Below are 22,472 nucleotides of genomic sequence, written 5' to 3' on the forward strand. Positions count from 1 at the left end.
TGGTAATACCTCAAATCCTTTACTTTTTGAATACAACACTATAATGAAAAAAATTAAAACAATACTTGCATCTGAGGGCAAACAACTAACTTGGAAGCACAACAGTAATACTTCATATAATGAAAAGGGTTTGTGTGTGTTACTAACATACATGCAATTATCAAAACTCTAAAATTTGTGCATTTCACTGTGAAAATTTTATGTCAACAAAAGGAAAATAATCATAAACAAATATTGAATTCTAATTAATGATATACATACTGAAGTGTTTAGGTGTAATGTGTACTGATGTCTGCATCTTACTTTGAAATGCATCTAAAACATTGGACTGTTTATACCAATACAGGCATGTACCGATTTCTCCATTTTTGAAGGAAAGTTTTGCCAAAGAAGAACTTACTTGTTGACTTTTTTGTTTCTTTCAACACTTCAAACATGGTTCTTCAACTACCTTCTGGCCCCATGGTTTCTAATGAGAAACTAGCTGTTGATCTTATTGAGGAAACCTTGTAAATAATGAGTCACTTCTCTTGCTGCTCTCAAGATTCTCTTTTTGTCCTTAGCTTTTGAAAATGTGATCTTTATGTGCTGTATTAGTCCATTCTCACACTACTATTAAGAAATACCCAAGACTGGATAATTTATAAAGAAAAGAGGTTTAATTGACTCACGGTTCAGCATAGCTGGGGAGGCCTCAGGAAACTTACAATCATGGAGGAAGGCACCTCTTAACAGGGTAGCAGGAGAGAGAATGAGAATAGAGTGAAGGGGAAAGCCCCTTATAAAACCATCAGATCTTGTGAAACTCACTCACTATCATGAGAACAGTAGGGGGAAAACTGCCCCCCATGATTCAATTATCTCCACCTGGTCCCACTCTTGACATGTGGGGATTATTACAGTTCAAGGTGAGATATGGGGGGGACACAGACCCAAACCATATCATGTGTCTTGGTGTGCATTCAGAATTTCTCCTACTTAGATTCTGATGAGCTTCCTGAATGTGTTGATTAGTGTGTCATCAAATTGGGAAGTTTTCAGCCATTTTTTTCTTCAGCCATTCTATTTGCCCCTTTCTCTCTCTCCTTTCCTCCTGGAATATGTATTATGTGTGTTGGTGCACTTGATGTCATCACACAGGCCTCTTAAGTCTCTTGAGCTCTGTTCATCTTCATGCTTTTTGACTTTCTACTCCCTAGACTAGATAATCTCAATTGACTTAAGTTCACCCATTCATTTTCTGCCTGTTCAAATCTGCTGTTGATTGCTACTTGTGAATACTTCATTTAAGTTATTATACGTTTTCCCTCTAGTATTTCTAGTTGGTTTCTTTGCATCATTTCTCTATACATACTGATACTCTCTACTTGGAGAGTCATTGTTTTCCTGGTTTCATTTAGCTGTTTCAGCATATTTAACATGGTGATTTAAAACCCTTGGGCTAGCAAATCCAATGTCTGGACTTCCTTGAGTACAGTTTCCATTACTTTCTTTTTTTCTTGTGGATGGAACAAATTTATGGGTTTCTTTACATTCCTCATCGTTTTCTGCTAAAAACTAGACATTTTGAATATTATAATGTGGTAACTAACTCAGATTCTAACTCCTCCCCAGGGATTATTGTTGCTGCCTATCAGGTTTTTGTTTGTTTGTTTACAGTCGTTTCTAAGCTATTTCTGAAAAGAGTACATTCTTTGTTGCATGTGGTCATGGAAGTGTTTACTGTTTTGTTAGCTTGCAGTTTGCCTAAAACTTAGCTGGGCCATTTAAAAATTTGCCTTAGCCATCACTTCCTCTTCTGCAGAGCTTGAAGGTCAGTCTGACATAAAAGCTTAGGTTCTTATCAGATCTTTTCTGAGTAGGTGTCTAACCCTACGCATGAAATGGACTTTCTAGATCCCATATTATCCACAGGAGCTTCTCAACTCCCTTATTCCCCAAAGCATTCCATCCTCCAGCCTTTTGTTCCAGGCTTCTTGGCATGTCCATTGTTTACTCCCATTGATATCTATTGCCCCAAGGGGCATTAGTAGATAATTTGTTCTGAGGGAGTTATGATTTCAGCAAAATAAAGGCATGTCCCTTGCATTAGGGATCCTCCAGGCAGGTCAAAACAAATAATCACACCTCTTTGCGAACAGAATCTACTCTGTTCCATCCAGCCCCTGTCACTGAGGCAGAGAAGGGAGGATAGAGTGAGGGTAAGTTTAAATGCCACAAATCTTTTCTCCTGAGTTTCAGGCCCCATTTTCTTAAATGTTTGAATGGTTGCTGTAAACCTTTGACTATTTTCTGAATTCAAAAAGCTGATTGGACTGTTTTTACAGATTTTCTTGTATCTCTGTGGAGCAACAAGCTCTTGGGAGTTCTCTACTCTGCCATTTTTACTGATATCACTTTCCATTTGCAAAATTCTTAAAATAAAATGTTGGGGAAAATATGGATTAGAAACAACTTATCTGTTTCTCTTGGAACTGTGACTTACAGTGAAAAACTTGAAAATTTAGGAAACCCAAAATGACATAAAACAGTAATAAAAGTTCACTAACAATATACGACATAAAGATACAATTTTTAAAATTATAAGAAATGCAAAAATAAGGCTAGTCACACAAAAAGGATGTTTAGGAAACAGAAAGTGAGAGAAAGTGCTAATATAAACTCACTAAAGAGATTTTATATTCTAAGTAAGCTCATGCTCTGGTTTCTCTTCAGACTGTATAAATCTTTTGCCTTTTACTAAGTAAGCTGAATGTATAAAAATAAAAACTAAATCATTAAATCAATAAATACATTATTTTAAAGATGGAATCATATATATATACATATATATATACACACACACACGCACACAAATATATATTTTTATATATATAGGCACTAAACTTTACTGGCCCCTAAATAAATTAACAGGAATAACAACTAGCTCTGGAAGCAATTATTTGTAATAGGGAATCTGTCAAGGTCTCCACTGGGTTGAGGAAGGCAGTAGCTAACCACTAAAGGAAATGTTAAAAAAGCAAAGGTCAATGTCTGGCCCTAAATTTTTAATTCCAACAACATGGCTAGAACTGTTCAAATTAGAAAATGGTCAGCATGTCAAATGGATAACTAACCAGCACCATTACCTAGTGCTTACATACAGCATACTATAAGCCCCATGCTAGACAAGTACATGAATTTTCAGCAGGACATACACAGAATCATGGGGATGGAGGGTGAAGAGGAAAGGGGATTTATTTTGTCTAAAAAAATTTTTTTTTTTCAGAATATAGCTCTACTATACTAGGAATGGTTTTTCTATGTACTTTATATGAAAATGTATGAAGTTACTTATCTAAGAAAAATTGGTGTTTCTGAAGGACATCAACCCAAGAAAACTTATTTTTAACTAACATTTTTTAACAGAGTTCTTTAAAGCGTTTCACAAAGGTCAGTATGAGCTGATTTTTTTTAATGTGAACATTTCCACAACAAATTTTAAAAATTGGAATGAATCAGCAACTTAGATGACACAGCCTGAAGTATTTCCTAATAAATGAGAATGAGAAAAGGTCCATTATTTCACTTATAAATTAATTAAGAGCTTCCAACCTACAATGTATCAGGCCTTCCTCACCTACCAGACATCTATTTTAATGAATTAAAATATACTACATTGTGATCAAACTAAAATAGACCATTTCAAAATCTAGAGGGAACAGGAGGTGTACTCCTGAGATAAAAAAATTTTGTCAGAACACTTCATTTTAATCTAATATTTATACCACATATATATACATGAATAGTATATATCTTAACAGATGAAACAATTATTCTTTCCAAATCATAGTGTCTTCAAAAATTTTTTAGGTTATTATGGAGAATGTGGTAGAGACTGTTGATTACCTCCAACAGCCAGTAGGGCAAGGAGGAAGAAGGATCTTTCTCCCTGACCACACTCCTCACATATATAACGGACTATATGTAAGTGTCAAAAGCATATCACTCAACACGTTACTAAGAACACGAAATCAATCAAACAGAAGTTCAAAGATAAGATGATAAACTATAGAATAAAGGAAATATGAAATTCAAACTGAGTAAGTAAACAACAGATCAAAGCAATGGTGTTACTACATTTACGGAATTAAAAATAAAAACTGAAAAAAAAGATTAGACCATTGAAAATCAAATTACTGACAATGAAACAACTTGAAATAATATAAATGCAATCAAAAAGACAAAAATGTGGCCTAGCATAGTGGCTCACGCCTGTAATCCCAGCACTTTGGGAGGTCAAGGCAGGAGGATCACATGAGCCCCAGAGTTCAAGATCAGCCTAGCCAACATGGCGAAATCCTGTGTTTATAAAAAATACAAAAATTAGGCCAGGCACGGTGGCTCACATGTGTAATCCCAGCACTTTGGGAGGCTGAGGCGGGTGGATCACATGAAGTCAGGAGTTCGAAACCAACCTGGCCAACATGGTGAAACCCCGTCTCTACCAGAAACACAAAAATTAGGCAGGTGTGGTGGCAGGCACCTGTAATCCCAGCTACTTGGGAGGCTGAGGCAGGAGAATCATTTGCATCCGGGAGGCGGAGATTGCAGTGAGCCAAGATCGTGCCACTGTACTCCACCTTGGGTGACAGAACGAGACTCAGTGTCAAAAAAAAAAAAAAAAAAAAATTATCAAGTATGATGGCACACACCTGTGGTCCCAGCTACTCAGGAGGCTCAGGCAGGAAAATCACTTGAGCCTGGAAGGGCGAAGCTGCAATGAACTGTAATCACACCAGTGTACTCAAGCCTGGGTGACAGAGTGAGATCCTGTCTCAAAAAAAAGAAAAAAGGACAAACATTAAAGAAATTTTCTAAAAATATGATGGACATGGTAGACAAAGATTATAAAACAGAATAACGGGTATTCCTCAAGTATATAACTTACAAATGAAGCAGAAAAAAAATGTAAACATCGAATTTTTAAAATTACAAAAAGAAAAGAAAATTCCCTAAAATAAAAGGAAGAAGTGAACCTGGAGATCATATGGAATAACTCACGTTGAGATGTAACCTGATTAATTCTCAAAGACTTTTTAAACAGGTTTTTTTAGCATGCAGAAAAAAAAAATCAAGTCACCTGCAAAGGAGAAAAATCTTTGGCTATCTTCAGATTTCTTCACAGCAAAATTCATTGCAGAAGAAAATTAAGTAATGTCTACAGAGTTCTCAAAAGAAGAAAAGGGTGTGTCCCAACAGTACCATAACCAGCAAGATGTCAAATATACAAGAAACAATAAACCATTTTCAAATGCACAAGGCCTAAGAGAATACTAATCCAAGAGCCCAGGTAAAATATCAATCAAGTGTGAGAGTGACACTGAAAGTCTCAAAATTTTATCTCCCATCTACCCACTCTTAAGAAAACATTGGAGGATATGCTCCAAAGCCAGGAAAACCAAAAGAAAGGAGAGAGACAGACAGAGACAGAGACAGAGAGACAGAGAGAGAAAGAGAGAGAGAAGAAGAAAGCCTAAGAAATAGGATTCAACACAGAAGAGACATGAAATTAAGTTCTAGAAAAACAGATTGGAACTGTGCAGGCCTAGTAAGCAATCAGATTAGAACAGAGGGTGAAGACTCCAGGAACATATCTCCTGGGAAGAAAATGAAGCTGTTGAAATACTTGATATACTTGACAACTGTACTAGTCAGAACTGTGTTCAGCTATATATAACAGAAATATCTAGTTAGGTAGCTCCATAAAATGAAAAGTTGCCCCAAACACTTTGTTTTTCAGCTCTGCCCACCCCCAGAATATAGTTTTATCCTTATGCTTGTAACATGACTACTGCACCTCTAATCATCACACATGCATTCTGGGAAGGAATCATGAGAAAGGGCAAAGGGTAAAATATACATATGTCAAATAAGTCTGTCAGAAAAACAATAGCTTCCCCAGAATCCCAATTTCCAGATGTGGACCCATTTCTGACTCTAAAGGAATTTAGTATGTTGATTATTTTTCATTAGGCATATAACTACTCTGAACAAAATCAGGATCCTGTTATTTAAATAAGTGGGAGGGGTAGAACTGACATTGGGTAGACAAGAAGTATCACAACAACTGCACATAAAATAATATTTGGAGAATATTTAATATTCCAATGGAGAACTTGGAATGCTTCATATAGTGACATGATAAAGTAAGCAAATTTAAAATGAAGCAATTTTTGATTCCAAAAAGAACCAAAAGTTCCACAAGAGATGAAATGCTATTATACAGCTGAATAATATTCATAAATCATAGGAAAATGAACACCTATGGATTGAAAAAATTCTAATATATATATTCCAAAGATGAAAGAGGTAAGCAGAAGCATAAGGTAATAGAAGAATGACAAATTCTCCATTTCTATAATAGGAAGTCAATACATAATGCCTAAAATTGATAAATCAAGAAATAGCAATATATGTCTATTACCTAGAAATGGAGAAAGGTAAATACACACACACACACACACCAAAAATAAAATTCTTACCCCACAACCACCTGAAGGGACCCCTTCTCACGACCAAGGGCATTCCAAAGTTAACCTGAAAAACTAGTTCAGACCATGATAGGAAGGGTGGGTCAGACATGCCTCATTACACCCTCCTCCCTTTTGGAATTCAGGAAAAGCCAACCAGCATTAACATCAACATAGACCTTAAGTCTGATAAACATTTATAATCTATTCTGTCTGAAGCCTACTACCTGGAGGCTTTATCTGCAAGATAAAACTTTAGTCACCACAACCCCTTATCATAATCCAGACATTTCCGTTCTATTGATTCCAGGTCTTCAGATAACAACTTAACTTTCAATTAATTGCCAATCAGAAATCTTTAAATCCATCTATGACCTAGAAGCCCCGTCTTCAAGTTGTCCTGCCTTTCCAGATTGAACCAATGTGCATCTTACAGGTATTGACTAATGTATTATGCCTCCCTAAAATGTATAAAAGCAAGCTATAGCAACCATGGGCACATGTCATCAGGACCACCTGAGGCTGCACATGTCACAGGTGCATCCCTAACTCTGGCAAAATAAACTTTCTAAATTGATTGAGACCTGGCTCAGATACTTTTGAGCTCACACACAGAAGGGAAAAGAACTGAGGAAGCTAATTCAGACATTGAGAAGGGTCACTCAGAAAAATGTTTCTCATAAGCCTTGTAGTACTATTCATTTTCTTTCTTTTAAACCATGCATATGTTCCTTGGTAAAATTTAAAGTTTTCTTTTTTAAAAAAGAAAACTTCATGAGTTAAAAAAAATTCCAATCAATAGGAATAAATTATAAACAACAAAAAGAATACGGAATCTTTACGATAAATGCTTCATAACCAATGGGAAGAGAGGAGACATTATTTCAATATTAGATCATGGTCCTTAGTTTCACCTTAAATTATATGTTGAACCCTTTGTCAACAGTTACTTAAAACAGTGCACAAAAAACTGCTCTTATTGCATTGTAAAGAATGTATTCTACCACAACTTCTCAGTATTTTGTTTTTTTAATAAATTCCACAGAATCGTGGATCTATAGTCCATTGGTAAGACACATGACAAAATTTGTTTTAACAAAGAAAATTAATCAGTAAAGAAAATTAAAACTCAATAATCTCTAACATTTTGGTCCGTTAAGACAGGATCTGGATGTGGAGTTCATGAAGTACTTCCCTGAAGTACCTCTGTACCTACAGAAAATTGCTCATCAAAAAACTACATTTATAAATTTTGGATTTTGATAAGTTATTTTATGGCTACCACTGAAAAACTTAAGAACTTACCTTAAAAATACTTTAAACAAAATTCTAAATTTGGACTTTGTTAAACTTATGTAAGGTTTTATAATTGATGTACAGATATACAGAGAGAGACAAAATTAATTACTCCAAATTTTAAACTGGCATAAATACTGCCACCAGAATTACATAACCCGGATTCATATTCTAAAAAATAATGGTAAATATTTAGAGTTTTAACTTCCAAATCACTGAAGTAAAATATTTTGATAATTCTTGAAAACCTCTCATCTCCCAGAGAAAGTTCAGTTGTAAAAAGCTAGATTCATGCAATTAAAAACATTCCTAGCAGGCCCCAGTGTCAGAGTTTCCTTTCAGTTTACAATTGATGCCACTAACAGATGTTGGTTTTTATTTTAAATCACTCTTAAAATTTACTCTGTGTTTTATAATATTTATTTTTTTAAATCGATTAATTTTACAAAAGCAACTTTAGTCTTAGAGATCTAGGTTTATGCTTCAAGAAATCTCCCATAATAGGCTTGAATGACAAATAAAATACTTAAACAATTTTATATCCTTGAAAATTATACAAACTTGACCTAGAATAAAAAACAACCCACATGGACTGCAAAGAGTAAGGTAAATTTAAGAAAATAAAAATGCAAATGTGCATTTTAGCAGTCTCTTGAATTTATTAACCTAAAAGGTTTAATTTCCATTTTCCTGCATCAGCTTTATTTATAAAATGTCGTGCCCTATAAATACGCCGTTATTTTCTATAGTCAAGCACCCTCTTAACAAATCTTCTCATTAATATGTAAATTTAAAGTCAATCGGTCTTCTCCCTGACAGCCCCATGAATTCCTAGTGCACTGTATAATCAGCTTTGACTTGACATCCACTATTTATCATCAAAGATGTCAGTTAGAAAAATTATGGAAAATGCACTGCAATTGATATGACTGCAATCTACTTTGTCAACACTTAATTGTTCCTCAAATCATACATTTACATATAAACAGCCTAAATACTGATCTATAATGATGCAAATAAACTAAATTAAAAATCTCTTCTGCCCCTGAAGAAGCTTGTTTGTATATGATGTGTTCATTTGAGAACTTATTGACAAAAGCATGTACATCAGCTCATCTCAAAAAGTGTATCTACGAATTTTCGATTCCTCAACAAAAAACAATTTTGCCACACTTCAAGCATATTAACGTAAACAAATGTTTGCAAAAATTCAATAGGAAACATGATTTTTCTCTTTGAGAGCAAATTTAATTATGGTTGTTAGCTAATTGCATGTCTGAGCACTATGGATTGGGAGCCTCAAAGCTGGTTTTGACCGGAACACAATAAACAAACACAGAAAACTTATTAAGGTAACTAAGAAATTATTTTAATTTACAAGTCACAGGGTAACAAAATATAAAGGCAATAATGCTGGCCTGGGCATCAGATAATTCTGTTTATATTTCTGCTCCACCTTTTATAATTAATATTGTCTTAAGTGACTTGCTAAAATCTGTATATATCAATTTCTTCATATATAAAATGGGTATAATAATTCTGATTGCCCTATGGCAAATGGAATACTATGTAAGAAAGTACAGGCCAGGCATGGTGGCTCACGCCTGTAATCCCAGCACTTTGGGAGGCTGCCGAGGGCAGATCACTTGAGGTCAGGAGTTCAACACCAGCCTGGCCAACATGCCGAAACCCCATCTCTACTAAAAATACAAAAGTTAGCTGGGTGTGGTGGCACATGTCTGTAATTCCACCTACTTGGGAGGTTGAGGCAGACGAATCGCTTCAACCCAGGAGGCAAGAGGTTGCAGTGAGCCAAGAACGCACCACTGCACCCCAGCCTGGGTGACAGAGACAGACTCTATCCCAAAAAAGGAAAACAAAGAAGAAAAGAAAGTACAGCAAAAATGATAAGCCATTAAGTATAAAGCATCACAGTATTATTTTTCACATTTTCTCTTAGTATCTGAGAGAAAACTGCTGGATTTAAATGAATTCGGTATTACAGGCAGGTTTTTTTAATTATAAATTTAACTTTTATGTCGATACATTGTTTTAGTGACACTTTTTCCTACTGGCAAATTCTTTACTTCAAGGTAAAATGGCCCTTAATTCATCATAAAATGGTGCTTATATAGCATTTATGTAAGTGACTTCTGCCTGTAGGTAAAAGGGAATGGAGGGCTAGAGTGAAGACATTTCTACTTGGATGATTCCATGAAACAACACATTCAAGTGTTGATGGTAAAAGGATAAAAAAGAGAGGTAAACTCTCAGGAATGCCTCTGCTAGAGTACTGTTTCACCTTGTCTTTTTATTCTATAATCATCTTAACCTTTCTTTACTACATGGTGTTCCTTTTACAACATCACATAAGAAAGAGCAAGCAAATATAAATGCCAAATACTTCTCAGTTTCTTCTAGCTATGGTCAAACTCTGCTTTGAGATTTAGTCTGCCAACTTCTTTTATTTTTATTTATTTATTTATTTATTTTTTTGAGACACCCAGGCTGGAGTGCAGTGGTGCGATCTCGGCTCACTGCAAGCTCTGCCTCCTGGGTTCATGCCATTCTCCTGCCTCAGCCTCCCAAGTAGCTGGGACTACAGGTGCCCGCCACCGTGCCCGGCTAATTTTTTTTGTATTTTTAGTAGAGATGGGGTTTCACCGTGTTAGCCAGGATGGTCTTGATCTCCTGACCTCGTGATAAGCCCGCCTCAGCCTCCCAAAGTGCTGGGATTACAGGCGTGAGCCACCGCGCCCGGCCTCGTCTGCCAACTTCTAAAGCTAAAACTACCATGTGTAGTCGCTAAAAAGTTGGAAGCAACATCAAGCCTAGATCAGAAAGCACTGAAGACTATAAATGGCTACACTGCTCACTCCAAAGTTTCTCAGTAAAACAAAATCATAATTAGCACAGAGGAAGCCTGAGATGGGTTAACTGGAAGAGTGAGAGCACAGACATGGTCCTAGTGTTGACCACTCATTTGAATCTTAATTTTATAAAATATATTTATAACAAGAGTCTAACATATTGTACAATCCTTGATTCTAATACTGCAATAAGGGCTGAGCCTTTCAAATCTTTCACACTGCTTCTGAACTGAACATATGTACGTATGTAGACAAAAGCCTGTTATACTGATTATTCTGGGCTAAACGAGACCCTCAAATAGCACTTACACAATCGATGAATAATTTTTCCTTGAATTGAGGTCAACTGATATCAACTTAAATTAATAAATAAAGCAAAATGTTTTATCCAAAGTAAAATTTATAACCACCAGAGTAACTGAAATTAAACAGTTACCAATAATTGCCTCTAAGGCGTCAACCAAGAGGTTACGAGAAGGGAACATGTACTTGAATTGCTTCTATAATTAAAAAACAACAACAACAATAATAGGAATCAAATTAGCTAAACTTATAAATCTTCTATTTAAAGTGGTTTTCTTTCTATCTGTCTTTTAAGCCAATGGATCTTTCTCAAAGGAAATCAAATTCAACGCTGCATAAGAAAGGAAGGCAAAAAAGGCTTCTGTGTTTGAAACAGTGGCAAAAGCCCAAAAAGCTGCACAGTCTAGAGCACCCCTGCCCTGCTTGGCTCGTTCCTGTGGCAGTGCTAGCACATCCTGAGGGCTGATGTGCACACTGGAAAACCACTAAATTAGTCTAATGAGCACAGCATTTCGAATAATTCCAAGGTTGGATTGCAAGTAAGTGGCAAAGAAAAGAAATGACTTAGCCCATTCCAGTATGCCAGGGACAATGACCAGACTTCACCTCATGTTTGTCCTAATTCATGTTCATGGAGTTAACATGTGAAAACACCAAGAATGAATACAGTCCCAATTTTTCAAATTATCTGTCAAAAAACAAATGTATATGATGGTGTAAAACTTAACTTTCCTTTGCAATGGCTTTAAAAATAAATTTTATCTAAAATAAGATAAAATTCAAGGAACAGAAAAACAAATAAACAGACAAATATACAAAAGCAGAGATTTTACTACGGGTTACATATTTTTAGCAGGTATGGTAAGTACACTATATATTTTAACTCCAGTTTCTATATAATTACAAGCAAAGGATCATTTGCATATAGTTACTGAAAATGATAGGAAAGTAAAATTTAAAAATTTAAATGGTGACAGTGATTAGCTAAGGCAAAATTGCCTATAACTTTATACAATAGAAAAAAAATCTGAGCAGAAGTTTTGAAAGGAATTGGCTGAAATCAAACAAATAAGCTGTTTGGCAACAAAAATCTCTCATCAAAGTTATCATAAAAGGGCCAGGACATTTTCATCATAGAGATGTTCCTTAATCTAGCAAAAGTGCCATCAAAACTGTACTTTGCTCAATGATAAATAAAATTAACTTTATAAAATTAAAGTTGACAAGGATAGTAAAATTTCATCAATTTAAGAGCATTATGTAACATAAGACTTACATATTAATAATTCAAAACATACTTCAATTTTTAAGATGGATAACATAATCATCATTTTGTTAATATTAAAAGTGAGATGAAAATCAGTATTACTGTCTTGTGGATAAAGAAGTATTAAAATTTCTAAACAGTTTTTAATGCTAATACTAAATCAATATAGAAAATAGTGATCAACATTTTATAATAATTTGCAAGCTTGATGTGTCATTTAAAGCATGTATCATACATTTTTCCATGTTATTTACATTTTTCTAATTAACAAAAGCAAGATGTACTGAGCACTCAAGGCCTGTCATAAGTATGTATACAGACCACTTTGATATAACAGGAGCTTTTTAAAAATCTTTTTTTTTTTTACACAAATTGGTTTTTAAAATCTATAATACTGTATTTTAAAAAGATAAGACATCAAAAGACTAGAATGAATGTGCTATTCTTACAACATTTAAGGATTTATTTAAACTGGTTTAAAATTACCTTAAATCTTAAATGTATACATCCTAAGGATCTTAATTACAAGTTATATGATAAAATTTTCTAAATTGTCAATATGATGAAAAGAATAAGGCATACTTAAAAAAAAGAATAAGGCGTACTTCTAATGTTAATCTGCACAAAGAAAACAAATAGCTTCACTTAAATTATTAATTTTACTAAATGCTACCAGCTAAAGTGAAGAGAAGAACACAAACATTTTATAAATACAAAACTAGGAAAAAGTAGTTTAAAAGTTCAACAATATTTATCTATAGAGGCAAGAAATTAATTACTTTAGGTATAAATTCACATGCTATAGGAGCACATCACCTACTTTTTTTACAAATGAGTACCTGGAATAGCTGGGGCTCAAAGACGTGAAAGTAACTAGTAACCAAAAAAATCCATGGTTTGGCAATGTCACTGTAAACACTGTGTCATGCTGCTCCTCCTAACAAGGGCCTCTTGCCAGTATCAAACTAAAAGTGTATATACTTACACCAATAAATATGTATCAATCAGTGCCAAAATAATGGATAATTATGCTTGCATTTATATTGGTTGCCTGCTTTAGTAAAAGAACAAGAGACAAATGAGTCTTCCTTAAATATGCAGATTTCTCTAGTTTACTACTCCTAATTTTTTGCCCAAGTTTTAAAAAGCTCATCCATTCTCTTAGTATACTTGAAAGTGGAAGACTGTTCAACACTTACCTCTTTCCAAGGGCTGACAAACTGTGTCCGAGCATATCGAGTTAGCATGTGGATTATGACAACCTGCCCCCACTCTTCAACATCCACTAGTAAGTTACATAGCTTGCGGTAATTTTTATGAATCAGATCTATTCTGTCCGGGCATACTTCTTCAAAAGCCATCACAACACTGCCAGCTACCAACTAGAAAAGAAAGAAATAGTAACTTATTAAAAAATGTTTCTCCCCTACATCAAAGGTCTTACTCAGGCATTATAGTAATCAGTTTCATGCCAATCAGTATTAAAGTATTCAGTCATTCAATTAAAATGAATGTTCATGTTTGAATAACAAACTTTATGGTGACTATTCGTCAAAGAATAATTTTAATAGTTCTAATATGTCTAGAAAATACTATTCTGAAGAGAAGTAAATTCTGATGTGTTTATTTCACCAGGTTAAATTTCAACACATTGTTCATATGTGGATTAAACATTAATCACGCACATTTTTCATGTTTAAAGCTAACCTAAATTCTAATCTAAAAATTCAGTACTTTGTTCATAATATTCAGAAAAAGAATCAAGACAATAACAAAGCTCACATTGTGTCAGTTTAAAATGAGAACGACAATCATTCTAAAATGAACTTATGTTAAAAAGTATATGAGAAATTCATAAATTTTAATAGAAGAACACTTTCAAATCATATACATCTTAATCCACCGGTTTTTACCCAATATAATTTATTTACAAAGAAAACACACTGGCTGAAATTTTAGAACATCACCTGGGCTCTTATCACTTTCATAACAATGTGTATAAGTTGGAATAATATATTACTAACAAAAGGGGGCTCTTCCAACACCAGTTAATGAATCATAATGTTAGTTTCTGAACTGTGATGCTTTTACAAAGTGGTAACATTGAGATTCCTTTACTCTAAAGACACAAACTAAGCAGAATATATATTATACAAATACTTCTCTATACGTACAAATGATATATGTGCAGTTAGCCCACAATATAATACAGTTTTGAAAAACAAATTAATACCATATTCTATCTGAACACTAGGGATCTTCACTTTAGTGTCTAAAATTTCCCCAATGACTTAAAATAAGCAATTAAATAGAAATATAACTTACTGAAATGGTACTTTTTGAAAAATATTAGATACAATGATATTCATATTTTGAGTGTTTGTCCCTCTAGTTGGCTGACATTTAGTTTATTAATATGCAACCAACAATACAATTGAAAGAAAACAGCTCAGAATATAGACTCGCTATTATGCTAAACAAGTTTCAAGTCCTGTGGGGATTTTATGAATTACCAATCAGTATAAACGTGAAGCTGCATTTATTGACTCCAGCCCTAACCATGTACTGGTGCCTGCTGGTCCCAGCATGTATGCACCTCAATCGAAAAAGCACAGAATTGATTATTTGTGTGAACTATATAAAAATGTATTATATATATAATTTTCTATTTGTTATAGATATGGCAAGGAAGTTAAGCTCATGCTTTCAATCACATTTTGATGTCTTCTGCAAAAGACATAATTTCTTTAGAAATTACATTTTGTGATAATTACATTTCTATAAAGTGACAATTAGTATCATTTTAAAATATCTTACAACTAAGTTTATGACATTAAACTCTAGAATAACTCATTGTGAGATATAAACATCTATATATATGTATTATCAACCTTATATTAATATCAACATCAATTGGTAAAGGGTGTTAAAGTGCAAAAATAAAGGATAGTATCTAGGATAAAATGATCCATGAAATTGAACAGGTAATTCACAGTTTCAATTTTTAAAATACTATGTAAAATCAAGTTATTCTGTCTTAGCAATTATTTTCTTCCAAATGTGTTTTGATACTAAACAATTAAATGGAAAATCAGCTACCATATAATATTAAATTCATTAAACCAAGAGCTACATGTACACAATAATTCTAAAGTACTAACACCTTCTAAGGTACTAACAAATATCATTAATTAAATAGAACCAAATAAAGTTTAAGAAAACATCAAAATAATTAAAAAGCATATAAAGAGAGTACTTTTACAAAATAAAACTGATCATTTTAGATACTTAATCATATAGTTTTAACAATCTGACCCTGGGCTAAACACTACAAGGAAAATTAATAATTTTGGTTTATTAAATGTTCAATATTCTATAAAATATTCAGAATTAAAATTAAATGATCTACTCAGATTTTAAAACCAAAAATACTGGTTTCCAAAAAACAGACAGTTAACTTCCATCTCACTGTGTCAATAGTAGCTTTTCATATCAGGGAAAAAATAAATCACTCCAACAAAACCAGCAATGAGCTCATCAAATTCAAATGCAGTTTTCCATTTATGTATTTTTTATATTAAAGCAATAAACATGGTTCATTTATCTTCCCTTGGTTGCCACGTTTTTCTGTGCTGTTGCTATGAACTTCAGCCATTAGCTGTGCTCCAAGGTAAACTACATGAACCATCAACAAAAGTGACACCCCATCTATGGAGTTCATATTTTCTCTAGATTATCTATGCTAGTTGACAAGCTGGTAATGAAAAAAATCACACTAAGCAAATGGTTCCTCTAATAACAATAAATTTTCTATAAAATTATGAAGGGTACAAAACGTTTCCTTGCATCTATTTTGTCATGAATTCTAATTAACATTGCAAAAACCTGAGAGTGCTGGGTCATCACAAGAAGTGCATCAAGGTTTGATTGATAATATGGTATAAGTTGGCCAATGCTGCCAAGATTTTCTTCCCTTAAATTAATGGCCATCCAACCTTCCCTAATCATACAGCCCAAATGATATTCCCCTTCTTATTTCAATTTTCTTGAGGCATGGAAAATGGGAAAGATCAGTCATTTATCTTCTAATAGCTGGATAATAGATCTATCACAATAAAACATCTGTACAAACTCAGGGGTGTGTTTTTTGCACATAACGGTGGGGCTTTTATCAACATTAAATCAATAACTTAAAATTTGTGTCTTATCCCTACGGTTTAGCTATACACTACCAATCTATTCATTAAACATAATTTTATAGCAAAAATCAAAAAGAGGAAATTTTATGTCATCAAAAATATATACATAAATCAGTTTTTCAGCAGGCACTGACCTAATTTGTTTTCCTAAGAAACTCTGTTTTCTATCAGAAAGTTCGATGTTATCAAAAAGATTTATTTAGGATTAACTTGAAAGGAAAAGGAAATAAATACCACTCTGCTTCTAAAGTGTTCTAAAGAAAAGAATGTCAACAAATATGGATTGCTACATTTTAAAGAAAAACAAGAGAAACTTATTAATTTTAAAAATAAATTCATACGTGAACATTAGAAAAGGCTTGTAGTAAAGTAGGAAAGTGTTTAGGACATGTTGAGAAGGTAGATGAAAATGGTATAAAATTTAAGAATAAACAATAAAAATTCATATAAAGAAAAATGGTAACAGTTGATTGGAGATGACAGAATATAGATTAGATGCCCCCTTTTAAGTTCACTGACTACAGTTGTAAGGTTTCTGTAATATCTTTTACCTAAATAACACTAAAATGTTCTATTTTTAGGAAAAAACTATTCATATGACACATACTGGTCTTTAGTAAAAGAGAAAAGCCATTCTATTATATTTTAATATATTTATAATTCCACCTTTCCTTAAAATGAGAATTATGGAACTAATTTTCTTTGAGATCTCAATTGAAAGAAAATATCCTCTAGCCTAAAAGAAGCAACAGATGGTATGCCTCAAAATCAACAGAGGTTAAATGAAGAAAGTTTAATAGATCAACATCTTTCAAATGTATATGTATCAGCAGCAACACCAATGTCATCATCGTAATAATGATCCCAAAAAACTGCTGCTGGCAACAAATAAATTCCTTTTCAAAATGTGGAAATAAATTAGACCTGGTACATTTAACTGGGAGATTTTTTAAATGAAAGTGATTTTTGATCCTCTATTGATTTTAAATGCCAATGCTGACATTAAAAATTTGGTGGTGGGGGGCAGGGGAGAAATGTACCTGTCTTCCTTCAATGAAGAATTACATGTGACCAAAAAAAGGTAATAATTAAGATATGATCCACAAATATCTGTGTAGAATATTTTTAACCTTTCTACAATGGATTATAATCACACAAAAGAAAAAATTACCAGAAAACATTCACAAAATACAGCCAATTTAAATACTGGGTAGAGAAGTTGATGATGCCTAAGTAAGTCTGAATCTCCCAACCCAAATCCAAAAAAAAAAACAACAAGGGACCAAAACCCATGCTTTAAGCCTAACTTCAAAACAGAGAATCTCTAAACCTCAAATTATATATAAGTAGAAATATAAACCCTAAATTCCAGATAACTATTTTCATGCTTGTATCACAAAACTTCACAAAGACCTCCAACAGTATAGAAAAAAAACTGCCTGGAACAAAGCAAGCAGAAGTTAATGGCAGGCCTAAAAGTAAACGAAAATCAACAACAGAAAGAGAAAGAACACCCTAAGTGTGAAAATACTGGAAAAGATTCTTGGTAGATCAGAGCAGCCTATAAGGGAAAGACTTGAAAGAGAGGATGATTCAATGAGGTAGTGTAGAAAGGGAAAGTTTCACGGAGAAAATTAGCTTAAAAAAAAAAAAAAGTAAGGGGAGAGCAGTCCTTTGGAAACTGTGAAATAACAGAAAAAAAGAAATAAGAGGGGCTGGGTGCAGTGGCTCACGCCTGTAATCCCAATACTTTGCAAGACCAAAGCGAGATCACTTGAGCCCAGGAGTTCATGACCAGCCTGGGCAACACAGTGGGACCCCATCTTTACAAAAAATTTTTTTTAATTAGCTGGGCATGGTGGTGCATGTCTATAGTCCCATTTACTCAGGAGGCTGGGACAGGAGGATTGCTTGTGCTGGGGAGGTCGAGGCTGCAGTGAGCCATGATCACACCACTGCACTCCAGCCCTGGGTGACAGAGTAAGACCCTTCTTTTTTAGGCAGAAAAGAAAAGAAGAGAGAAAAATTTAGGCTGCTACAAAACATATCTCGAAATAGTTTGGGGACATATACTGGTCCTATGCATGCACGCCCTCCCACCAAAAGGCCATCTACTAAGAAAACATACTTTGTAATTCTAACAGAGAGGGTACTCTTGTACTAGGAATCTTGCAAGCTACCTCAAAATCAAATCACCAATCCTGTCCAAAGAAATAAGAAGATGCAAGTAATCTGTAAGTACTAAAAACAGAAAATGAAAATCAAAACAATTCAACTGGCAAAAATTACCGACAAAGAAATATAAATGATGAAGCAAAAGGAAACAACACGACACTTCAAAATGAATTAAATACCCTCAAGAGAAGCATTTGAAGATAGGAAATATAAATATAAATTATAAATTTTTTAAAGTTATAAATTAACAAAAGAAATCAGGATTGATTGACAACAGGAAAGAAATCAAGAGAGCAAAAATAATCAGATGTGAAGACTAAATTGCAAGGTGCCCTTCGAATAAAATTACTGAATGAAAATTTTAAAAGGGGTATTAAAGAAAGGTAGAAAAAGAACCAAAAGAATAAAAATGAGATAAAGAAAGAAGAGGTTTAGAGACACAATGATTGGAATGTAAAACAGGCAAAGAAGATCCAATGTGCATAAAATAGGAATCCCTGAAAAAGAAAAAAAATAACAGAATTAATATTTAAAATTATAATCTTAAAAAAAAACACTTTGCCAGAGATAATAAAAATTCTGAATCTACATTTTGAAAGGACTCACTGAGTACCAAGGCAAAACAATTGACCCATATCAAGTAATCCTGAAGTACCTTGCAAAAGTACTATATTTCAAAGATAAAATCTTCAGGGCCAGCATCTTTCTTAATGCAAACACAATGTAAGCATTTCCTTTAGACTGAAACAAGGCAAGAATGCCCACCATCTCCACTACTATTGAACACAACTGTAGTGATGGCACTAAACAATATAATTAGGCAAGAGAAATTAGAGTTCTAGGAACTGAAAAAGAGGAAGTAAAACATCTCTATTTGCAGATATGATTCATTCTCTAAAAAAAAAAAGAGAGAGAGATTTAGGCTGCTTGCTTCTGCCTCAGAGTTGGTGCTGTCATGGCCAGTCAGTCTCAGGGGATCCAGTAGCTGCTGCAGGTTGCTGAAAAGGGTGTCTGAGACCTGCAGTGAAAGAACCGGAGGGAGAAGCAGGCCAAAGCAGCAGTTCAAGGTGAAATTGAACAATATTGCCTGCAGAGGGAGAAAGAGTTCAAGGCCAAGGAGGCTGCTGCCCTGCGATCCCAAGGCAGCTGCAGCATTAAAGTAGAGGAGACCCAGGAGAAGAGAACCATCTGGAAGCAGTTTAGGCAGAAGAGGGGTGAAGTCTTGGCCTTTTTCTGCAATATCTGGTAGTCCATTCCTGCTAGTGGTTAGAACAATGAACACTAGTATAATTGTTTGGGCCAGTTTTAGTTACTTAATCAAAGAGGACAGAATTCAAGAACTTGTTACATGTTACTACTTGGTGTACTGATAATCATTTAAAAGTAAAGACTCTTTGTCATGCAAAAAAAAACCCAAGGAGGATGAATGAGAAAATTAACTCAAACAATAGAAGAATTCAGTAAAAAAGCAGAATATAAAATTTATCACTCAAAAAAAATCAATAGCTTTCTTACATACCAACACAACGAGTTCAAAGATATAAATAGTTGAAGCAATTTTGATTTACCATACATTAAAAAAAAGATTAAAGACAAAAACAACTCTAAACTAATATTTAACTCTAATTAAATATTTAACTCTAATTATTAGGCCCCATGCTACTGTATACCCCACAGAGGTACAGTGCTAGCAATTCTGAAGCAATAGTTTCTCTGCATTCTGAGACTCAGCAAAAATGTAAACAGATTGTGGAAATAGGAGCCCTGTTTCTTGTTTTTTTGTTTGTTTGTTTGTTTCTTTTTTTTTTTTTGTAGAGACAAGGTTTCACCATGTTGCCCAGGATGGTCTCGAACTCCTGGACTCAAGCAATCCATCCACCTTGGCCTCCCAAAGTGCTAGGATTACAGGCATGAACAATGGTGCGTGGCCAGAGCCACATTTCTTAATGTTGAATAGGCAGTTTCAAATATAAAAAGGAAGGAGGCTGGAAGGAACTCTGTGCTATACCACCAGAATTACAGGTGTCAGTAAAAACTTTGTTTTTTACTATAGACAGAAAAAGAAATATGTATTCTTAATTAAAAAAAATAAACATATAGTATATAACACTTTAGGAAAAATGAGTGCCTCACAAAGGGTAGGCCACCAAAGCCCCCAAAGAATCTACCTATGAACACTGAGCATGAAACCACTGCAGGGGGGTGAGGGAGACATTAAAAACGATACTACACACTTAATTACTATCACCAAGAATGTAACAAATTAATTCAACAGTCATTCAACAAATATTAAATACCTGTGATGAACAAGTATTCAATATTTTTTACTTTCTGGTGTATTTTGGAAACAGACATTCCAATTTTACACAGATATTGTATCTTTACATCTTTTTGAGTACTTATTTCTTATTTGGAATTTTTAATCACATCCCATGTGGTGTTAGGCACTGTGCTGAGGGTTTTATATACAATAGTTCTTTCTCTCGACACAAACAGCAAATTTATAAATTAGATATTATAAACCCTACAAATCTGGAGCCTAAAACTCATAAAGAATTGGTACATATACTATGTGGCAGACGCTCAGACATTAAGCCAGTTCTATCTGATTCAAACGCTATTGTTTTTACCTATGATATGCTGTATCCTGTCTGGGAAGACATGCACATATTATACAGAGAGAGTTCATTCCCAGGCCATCCAAAGAATTTCTCTTAGTCTATAATGTAGCAGAAATGATGGTAAAACTCATTAAAATGACAGATCTGCTTCTTGTAGATCTTACTACTCTCCATGGTACTTAGCCAATCTCTTGCACTTATAATAGAAAAGCACTAAGTATTTTTTTAAATTATTAAAATCAAGTTAACCATAATATTAATAATATTGACTTCATATCTGGCAGATAGCATGCCTGTCATACAGAAGACAAAAAGGAATCAAATTTCTTTTCTCTATCTTCATTTATAATCAATCTATATTTAGTTACCTCCTACGTTATACCAACTATGCATAGAAGAAATGCAATAATGATTTCTGGTACACTACAGACTAACAGAAATTTACTAAATGGTCTAGGAATGAAACTACAAGTATAATCTCCATGTATAAGACAATATTTTCAAAAATATATAGTAAAAAAACCATGAAAAGAATTAAAATGTTCACTAGAACATATTCACTTAATCTAAGAAAAAGCAATAAAGGAGAAATAAGGAACAAAAAAGGCATGAAACATATAAAAGCAAGTAAAATGACAGCTTAAAATCCAACTATATTAATAACAACAATAAGTGTGAATGGATTAAACATTCCAATTAAAGGCACACATTGGCAAACTGGATAAAAAGACAAGAGCCAACTATATGCTGTCTATGGAGACATACAATAGATGCAAAAATATAAACAGGCTGAAAGTAAAAGGATGGAAAAAGATATATAATGGAAACAGCAACCATAAAAAAGCTAGAATAGTAGTATTTATAACAGGCAAAACAGACATTAAAACAAAAAAATGTTACTAGAGATAAAGAGGAACATTTTACAATGACAAAAGGAAGATTAAAAAAATTATAAACATACATGCACCAAACATCCAATCTCCTAAATAGATGAAGCAAACACTAACAGAATTAAAGAGACTTCAATACCCTGTTTTCAATAATGAATAGAACAAGTAGGCATAAGATCAGCAAAGTAGAAGATTTGAACAACACTAAAAAACAGATATCTATAGAACACTCCACTCAACAACAGCAGAATACACATTCTAATCAAATGTTTATTGAACATTATCCAGGATAGATCAAATGCTAAGCCATAAACCAATAGTTACAGCTACACAGGGCTA

General features: G+C 33.8%; 1 protein-coding gene and 1 pseudogene across 3 annotated transcripts in view, besides 1 other annotated feature; one reads left to right on the forward strand and one right to left on the reverse strand.

The window, feature by feature from the left end:
• AP3B1 (adaptor related protein complex 3 subunit beta 1) overlaps positions 1–22,472 on the reverse strand; it is a 294,177-nt gene that overhangs the window by 202,086 nt on the left and 69,619 nt on the right. For all 3 annotated transcript variants that reach the window (NM_001271769.2, NM_003664.5, NM_001410752.1), the window contains exon 7: positions 13,448–13,630. In NM_001271769.2, coding sequence (NP_001258698.1) covers positions 13,448–13,630 — 183 coding nt within the window. The remainder of the gene's footprint in view (positions 1–13,447; positions 13,631–22,472) is intronic.
• Positions 19,436–19,545: an enhancer, noted in NCBI's record as "active region_22704". NCBI's record gives its function as "activates an Ori minimal core promoter by ATAC-STARR-seq in GM12878 lymphoblastoid cells {active_cell/tissue: GM12878}" and the evidence as "EXISTENCE:reporter gene assay evidence [ECO:0000049][PMID:35858748]".
• Positions 19,648–20,016, forward strand: ATP6V1G1P6 (ATPase H+ transporting V1 subunit G1 pseudogene 6; annotated as a pseudogene).

This window comes from Homo sapiens, chromosome 5, assembly GCF_000001405.40.
Source record: "Homo sapiens chromosome 5, GRCh38.p14 Primary Assembly".
Classification (NCBI taxonomy): Eukaryota; Metazoa; Chordata; class Mammalia; order Primates; family Hominidae; genus Homo; species Homo sapiens.